The sequence below is a fragment of the Homo sapiens genome, chromosome 3, assembly GCF_000001405.40.
Source record: "Homo sapiens chromosome 3, GRCh38.p14 Primary Assembly".
NCBI classification, from domain to species: Eukaryota; Metazoa; Chordata; class Mammalia; order Primates; family Hominidae; genus Homo; species Homo sapiens.
In genome coordinates this window covers 197332827-197341297 of record NC_000003.12, presented here as the reverse complement: position 1 = coordinate 197341297, position 8471 = coordinate 197332827, and the positions used below count along the sequence as shown (strand labels likewise).

The following is an 8471-nucleotide window of genomic DNA, read 5'->3' as shown; positions in this document are numbered from 1 at the left end:
TGCACACCTGTAATCCCAGCTACTCGGGAGGCTGAGGCAAGAGAATCACTTGAACCCGGGAGGCGGAGGTTGCAGTGAGCTGAGATTGCACCATTGCACTCCAGCCTGGGTGACAGAGTGAGACTCCATCCTAAAGAAAAAAAAAAGTGGCTGTGAGCAACTTACATATACCCAACCAAACCAAAACCCATCTCCCCCTTAACCAGATCCTAAAAATGCCCGCAACGACTCCAAAGCCACCCAACCATGAGATATGTATAGTGGAGGGAAACTGGGATGAAACTATCTTACTTTTGCAAAATTTACAAAATGTGTGACATATGAATACATCGCTAGAACTCCTCCCGGCTTTGGAAGTCACCTGTGCAAGCGTGGGATCCTGAAGCTTAAACTTCGCCAGCGTCACTACAAATCCAGCTCTGCCTGGGTCTCTCCCTGCAAGGTTGCCTCCAGCTTACTGTGCCCCTGGACTGAAGTCTTCTGTTCCTTCCAAGTCAAGTTGCTCTGCAGGACTCTCTGTTCTGGTCTTTGTCTCTTTGTGCCTAGAGGTGATAACACCTTGGCTCTTACTAAGACCAGTTAACTGCACTATTCTTTGTGGTTTCCCTGTGATCACACCTATGCAAATAAACTATCCTGGAACTATCCCATTTTAATTGTGTCCTCTGTTTGCTGTTGGGACTCTGACCAGTCATCACTCACTCTTCCCCAACAAACACCCCTATTTCCCTCAAGCTGCCCCTAACTCTCTCCCTTCCTCACCCCATCCCCAGCTTACACCATCTGCCTCCCCGAAACGTCCTAAGCAAACCCTGCCCATTCTTCCAGGCCCAGCTGATCCCATCCTCCTCCCCAGCCAGAGTGGTGCTCAGGAAGCCCTGCCGGGTCAATGCATGTTTGAACATTATCTGGGCAGTGTCTGCCTGCAGAAGCTCCAGGGAAGGAGGAGGGGTTCCTGAAGATATCGATTTCATAATTAGGCCTCAGAGAAAGAGGCTCTTGGAAGCATCTTTCCTGGAGACCAGAATCACTGCTTACCCCACCACGGAGGGAGGCCCTGTCAAAATGAAGGAGGTTCCTTCCCTCTCCTGGGTGAGGGGCTGGGATTCCCTCTGTCTGTGAGTATGGGAGTGATTAAAAGGGAGGCTGGCTGAGTGCCTTACACAAATCATTTCCAGCCACACACCCGAGGGACACTGCAGGAATGCAGGGCCGAACACAAACGCATCCTTCCTGCTGGGCCTGGCTCAGAAGAGAAAGTCATGTCAGACCCGGGGAAGGGAGCTTCTGGGTGGACAGTGGGTAGAACAGCAGGAATCCCAGGCGAGCAGAGTCCAGGGCTCCTCCTCCGAGGCTCCATGAAGTAACTCATGCAGGAAGAGATGGGAAACAGCCTCTGCCCAGGTTAATGGGAGCGAGTCATGGCCACCTCCCAGGAAAGGAGACTGGGAAAACAGCAGGACCTAGGCCTTTTCTTCCACAGGGCAGAGCAGTCTGGGGAGGCTTCGCTGCTGCCCAGGCAGGAGACGGCCATGAGGACATGTATATTCCTGCGGTGAAAAAAACGGAGGCCCAATTTTGGCCACAGAGGAGATTCCTATCACGGAGAGTGCAGGGACTCTGCCTAGCATTTGAGGCACTTCAGGAAAAGCAGAATGGAGCATGGCACCCAACTCTCCACTCTGACTTTCTGAGTCTTGAGCCCCAAAATGTAGGTACTTTCAAACAAGAAAAGTACCAAGAAAGAGTCTTTTGTAGTTTGCAAGCATGATGATTCGGTTTTGAGAGGTGCCTCCCTCAAACCTTGTAGACGTCGTCATCGGCACATTACCTGCCTGATGTGAAAAAGAGAAAGAAAAAAAGGTAGCAAATATCTGGGGATTTTCTTTCACTGGTTGCTTTTAAATGCTTTAAAATTAAGAGACATTTTTATCCCCTTTATAAAACTGGAAAGATATGCCAGTTTAAAGGTAAGGAAGTGGGCTGGCATGGTGGCTCATGCCTGTAATCCCAGCACTTTGGGAGGCCGAAGCAGGTGGATCACCTGAGGTGAGGAGATCAAGACCAGCCTGGCCAACATGGCGAAACCCCGTCTCTACTAAAAATACAAAAATTAGCTGGGTGTGGGGGGTGCGCCTGTAGTCCCAGCTACTCGGGAGGCTGAGGCAGGAGAATCGCTTGAGCCAGGGAGGCCCCAGCTACTCGGGAGGCTGAGGCAGGAGAATCACTTGAACCCGGGAGGCAGAGGTTGTGGTGAGCCAAGATCACACCACTGCACTCCAGCCTGGGTGGCAGAATGAGACTCTCTCAGAAATGAAAAACAAAAAAATAAAAAAATAAAGGTAAGGAAGTGGCTGATTACCTCTTGGTTCACACGTGGGTGTATGGGCATGGGCCATGGTGGTGTGGTCATAGTCGGTAGAACATGTGTGTAGATATAGATATAAATGTAGCTGTAGACAGAGATAGAGATATATGTCACAGTCAGTGGAACTTAATATTAAACATTCGTGGAAAGAGCTGTCAGTGCTGACCACAGGCAGCTGATCTGTGACCTACACCAGCCTCTACTGCTAAAATTATTGTGACCTTAAGCAAGTCAGTTTCCTATTCTGAGCCTAAGTGTTCTCATCTATAAATGAGGTAATTGGACTAGATATTACTATTGTTTCTGCCGGGCGCGGTGGCTCACACCTGTAATGCCAGCACTTTGGCAGGCTGAGGCAGGCAGATCACAAGGTCAGGAGTTTGAGACCAGCCTGACCAGTATGGTGAAACCCCGTCTCTACTAAAAATACAAAAATTAGCCGGGCATGGTGGTGGGTGCCTATAATCCCAGCTACTGGGGAGGCTGAGGCAGAAGAGTCGTTTGAACCCGGGAGGCAGAGGTTGCATGAGCCAAGATCGCGCCACTGCACTCCAGCCTGGGCGACAGAGCGAGACTCCATCTCAAAAAAAAAAAAAAAAAAAAAATCGATGCTTCTAGTAAAACCAATTGTAGCCCATTAAGAGAGTAGTTTTTAGTGCTCCCGTTAGGTAAGTGTATTCTGCTTTGTGCGGCTCAGTAAGAAAGCCAGGAGCCATAATACTTGGGTTCCCATGTTGACTCTGCCTGTTTCCATCTGATGAGCTTGGATAAGACAGCATGTCTCTCTGAGCCTCAGTTTCAGGAAAGGATCCATCACTTCTCCAAAGCTCATGTGCTCCGATCTTGTCTCATTCCCCAGAGAAAGGCTTTGTGGTGCAAAAACCAAAATGTCTCGGTTCTCATTTTGTCACTTCCAGCTAAGGAGACAGGCATTTCTGAGCCTTCTCCCTTAGGCACCCTATCACAAATAATAAACATTAGTCCATCCTATATCCTGACTTAAGAGGCACCTCAAAATATAATCCCCTGGGGCTTAATGGAGCATAAATACACAGCAGATGAAAGCATCTTGGGGTTTTCCGCATGTAAGCTCCCATTACCTTCTTAAGCTGAGTCACGGTCCCTGACCACATTCTCCTCTTGGATGGCTCAAGGTGGCCAGACTAGTTATGGGACCATTTGGGAGAGGAGAAGACCCATTTCCTTCTGGCAGTTTTCCATGATCTTGAATTCTAGAACCAAAAAGAACACCCCACTGAGCCTCAATTCCTCGGATTGGGTAAGGCCACCCTTCCTGCTAATTGATCGGTAACAGAACATGACACATAACTTCCATAAACACAGGAGCTGGAAAGAGGGGTGTTTCCATGAGGCAGCAGGTGGAGTAGGTAAGTACGGAGGCCCTCGAAGCACTGGCTTTGGATCAGACAAACCCAGATTTGATTCTGGATGGACTACTTTCTAGCTGTGTGAGCTTGAGTGAGTTACTTAACCTCTCTGAACCTCAGTTTCCCCCTCTGTAAATATCTACTTCCCAGCATGATCATGAGGTGTAGACATACTATCTAAAGAGCAGTAGTCTCAGTGCAGGGGCTCGCATGTATCTGGGGCTCAATAAATTCTAGCTCCTCCTCCCTTCTCCTTCCTTTCACAAAATAATATTAGAAACGTGACAAGTCGATGACTGTTAGCTTGGTAGCATCATGAACCCATCATATCAGGCCTGTACCTAACTCTTCAGGTTACTATTATCCCCTAACCTCTTACCTTCTCTGATCTAGTCACAGATCAGAGAACCACCCACCCATTCTCAAATCACACCCTACACTGTGCCATTGTGTGTGCAATTCTTTGCCTAGACTGCCCTCCCCAATCTCCACATGGCCAAGTATTTCTCATTTTTCAAGGTCCAGTTCATCTATTTCTGTCTCCCCATTGCCCTCAATACTGGCAGCAAGGCCCTGTTCAAATGCCATGTTATGTGGGAAGCACTCCCTCACTTCTAACTGGAAGTAAACGCTGCCTCTTCTAAGTGAACGCAGAGGTTTTGCTGTGTGTCTCATCATTTTTCCCTTCTATAATAAAGAAGTAAGAATACCAGCCCCTATCCCTCCACCAGCTGACTAGGAAGCTCTTTGAGAAGGATCAACATTGCGTATGCATCATCCTGGAAACCCTCAGGAGAAAACTCTGAACAGAGCAGAAACCCAGCAAATACTATTGAGTGAATACATGAAGGGAGATTAATATATTTGGAGATGCTGAGAAAGAGAAACTGTACTCTTCAGACAGGGAGTAGAAGGGAAAGAGAAGTTACACTGTCTGCATACCTGCTGTGTGAGATAGATATCGCAGTTCCTAGTTACAGAGGAAGAAAATGAAGCTCGTGGAAGCTAAGTAACGATGTTATGCAACCATTAATGGGTCCAGCTACATGGGCACTTTCCCCAGAGAGCTGGGCATGTGTCATTTCATGTAATACTCACAACAACCCGTATGAAGCAGTCTGATTCTCATTTTGTAGATGAAGAAGCTGAGGCTAGAAGAAATTAAGTAGGTAACCCAAGTTTACAAAGTTCATGGAGTGAGGGCTGTCAGTTTATACCCAGCCTATCAGATGTGGATAATTGGTGGGTACTTCGTTTTCTGTAACTGATCATTTTGTCCTCTAGAATCCCAAATCCCACTGAAGAGCAGGAAACAAACAAAAACTTGTCAAGTCAAAGATCTCATGTTTTTTGCCGGGGAAGGGAGGTAAAAAGAATTTCTGTTTCTGTCTTTGTTTTTTCCGTTGTCTATTTCTTTTGAACAGTACTGTGTTCCAATAATTCAAGGCTCAAACTTCCTTCCAGGCCTGTTTGTCCTTCTCTGAGCTTTCCTCTTTCCCTCCTCCCTGCAGGAAGGCTAGTCCTTGTCCCATCCCCTGAGTTCTCGCCACCTTAGGAGGAGAAGTCCCTCGTGTGCCTGCTCCCAGGGCCCAGTTCACACCTGCAGCTAAAGTCCGTGCCAGAGGACATGTCTGTTCTCTTGGCCCTGGGCTCATCTGAGGCCTGGTGTTCACCCCTCTCCCCTTCTTCTTGCTGCTGGTTCTGTGCCGCCCCAGCTTTTCCCAGTACAGCCAACCTGGGCCTCCACCTGTGTCTTGTGGTGTGGACAATCGTCACAGCATCTGCTGTGGGTCACCTCCCCCTTGCCATAGAGGACTGCTGCCCTCAGCTGACCTCTCAGTGACCTTCTGCTTTCCCCAGTGGGCCCTCAGAGGCTTCCAGATCAGGCTGGGGAGCACAGAGGCGAGGCGTAGTCCTTCCTCAGGCCAGCTGTCTCTCCGCGAGGCCACCCAGGTCACTGTGAGGCCGTCCGCAGGGCAGTCTCCTCCCAGGATTTCTTTAGCAGGAGGGGATACAAACCACTCTTGGAAATTCCCCCTGCTGAACTCACTTCTAATCTTCTCCCTGTGGGTTCGGCCCGGCCAGTGAGCCAGGCCACAAGTGTCTGGCCACTTGCCCTCCTCCTTCCCTTCCCTCTTGCCTCCCACTCCCCACAAACCCCTTCTCCATGCCACCTTGATGTTGAAAGGGTTCCTGTCCCCTCTGCTGTTTACAGATCTGCTTCCTATACCACATTCTCCTCTTTCCCGAGATGCCATTCATCATTTTCCCTTTCCTAGAGCCATAGTGGCAAAATGGATGCAAGGAAAATATATAAGGAAGGTGTCCTGGGGGCCGGGCGTGGTGGCTCATGCCTGTAATCCCAGCACTTTGGGAGGCCGAGGCTGGTGGATCATCTGAGGTCAAGAGTTCAAGACCAGCCTGGCTAAATGGTGAAACCCCGTCTCTACTAAAAAATGCAAAAATTAGCTAGGCGTGGTGGCGGGCGCCTGTAATCCGAGCTACTTGGGAGGTTGAGGCAGGAGAATTGCTTGAATCCGGGAGGTGGAGGTTGCAGTGAGCCGCGATCACACCACTGCACTCCAGCCTGGGCGAAAGAGTGAGACCCTGTCTCCAAAAAAAAAAAAAAAAAAGAAAAAGGAAGGTATCTTGGAAAATACCACTCTGAGTCCACGTGTAGCAGCAGGAATTAAACCCAAATGCATCCAGCACTAAAGCTTTCTGTTAAGCACCATTTTAGACACCCCAATACTACAGAACTAGAGTAGGTGGATCTGAGATTTGAACACAGGTCTAAACCAACCTCAAAATCCAAGCTTTTCCAATTAACCGTTTTTCTCCTTCCTCTTTCACCAACAGACCCTGCCCACTCCAGGGTCTACCGGGTCCCTGCTATGGGTCGCCTCCCCGGTGAATCGACTTCTAATCTTCTCTAGGGTCTGCTTCAGGGGCAGGGTCTAACGGTGGAAGAAAGAAGAAAGACCCTAGTCTTTATCTTACTGGGGTTTCCATACTTAGCAAATCAAAGTATAGGATGCAGGGGTCCGCATTCTCTAACAGCCTGAACAGGAGTCCTTGAGCCTTCACTTCAGCACCAGCTCCTACTTCCTCCCTCCCTGCAAGCAGAGCCCACAGGTATCTCCAACGTTGACCTGAGAATGTTTTCAGAGCAGAAATGCAGAAGATCTTTCTTTCAAAGCACACATGCCTTTGTTCCCTGCTTTGGATCACTTAAGGCAGGCTTGAGCAGCCTCTTAATAGGTTTGTTTTGCGGTTGGTTTATTCCTCCGTTGGGGTGAGTAGACTTCACTTAGCTGCATAGGGGAAGAAAGGCAGTTTGTAAGCCAAGCGGAGCAGCAAATGTCAGATCAGGCTGAAGGCTGCTGAAGTTTCCCACAGGCCCCAAACACCCTCTTGAACGACTTACTCTGCCGGTTTAGTGCAAGGGTGGTTTTCTTTCTCCCCCCTCAGCCGGACCTTTGGGATCTGTTTTACTCACCTGGAAAGTTGCATAATCTTGACAAGCACAAAGCAATTAAGAGATTCCTAGCTCCTGCTGCTGCTGCTGCTGCTGCTGCTGCTGCTGCTGCTGCTTCTACTATACACTGGTAGGTGGAAGAAGGGACACTGGCCTCTAGGATTAAAGACTCTGCCTTCATCGGTAAGTAGACGTAGAGAGCAGACGCAATTCCACAGATCATTCTCATCAATGTAAACTACATGTGCCCAAAATATGTTGGGTCATAAATTTCAGGTAGACACAAAAGTAATGCACCTCCTTGATTACCTCAGTTATTTACAATTGGCTTGGAGAAATCTAGTCTAAGGATTTAATTTAGTAAACATGCATTGAGTTCCTGATGCACAAAAGGAAGGCCCTGGTCAGGTCAGAGCTTTGATTACAAAAATAACTAAGACATGGTCTTAAACCTCACGTGGTTCCTGGCTGCTGGTGGTGGCGGGGAGGGGAGAAAATGACAATATGAAATGTCTGCTCCCCTTAAGAAAATTCTCCCTGTCTTAGAGGGGAACATCACACAATGGGACCTGTCGGGGTGTCGGGGGCAAGGGGAGGGATAGCATTAGGAGAAATACCCAATGTAGATGACGAGTTGATGGGTGCAGCAAACCACCATGGCACATGTATACCTGTGTAACAAACCTGCATGTTCTGCACATGTATTCTGGAACTTAAAGTATATAAAAAAAAAAATAAAGAAGAAGAAAGAAAGAAAATTCTTCGTGTCTTAAGCCTGTCCCCTACCCCTTTGCTTCAAATCCTGGTTTCCAGGAAGATTGATTGACATGTATCACCTCCCAGTCCCCGCCTGCATCTGCTCCCTGCAGTCCTCTGACTTAGCTTTAACTACCATATCTACTTGCAGATTTTAGTCTTTCTCTTACTAGGGTTCCCATACTTAGCAAGTCAAAGTAATATACATACTTATACTTAAAAAGTATTCATTTTGGGGAAGGTGGGGATGGTTAACGGGTACAAAAAATAGAAAGAATGAATAAGACCTACTATTTGATAGCACAGCGAGGTGACCGTAGGCATAATAGCTCTATTGTACATTTTTAAATAACTAAAAGAGCGTAACTGGATTGTTTGTAACACAAAGGATAAACGCTTGCGGGAATGGATACCCCATTCTCCATGATGTGATCATTTCACAGTGCAGGCCTGTGTCAAAACATCTCATGTACCCCATTAA

General features: G+C 48.0%; 1 long non-coding RNA gene and 1 pseudogene across 1 annotated transcript; one reads left to right on the top strand and one right to left on the bottom strand.

Annotated features, from left to right (window-relative positions):
- The first annotated feature begins 1746 nt into the window (after positions 1–1746).
- On the top strand, positions 1747–1841 carry LOC124906373 (uncharacterized; annotated as a pseudogene).
- A 521-nt stretch (positions 1842–2362) lies between these two features.
- Positions 2363–7363, bottom strand: LOC101926923 (uncharacterized). Its single transcript, XR_001740580.2, has 3 exons — positions 7256–7363; positions 3469–3600; positions 2363–2453 (listed from the first exon to the last, which is right to left on the bottom strand). It is a non-coding gene; the product is annotated as an uncharacterized LOC101926923 (long non-coding RNA).
- Between the last annotated feature and the right edge of the window lie 1108 nt (positions 7364–8471).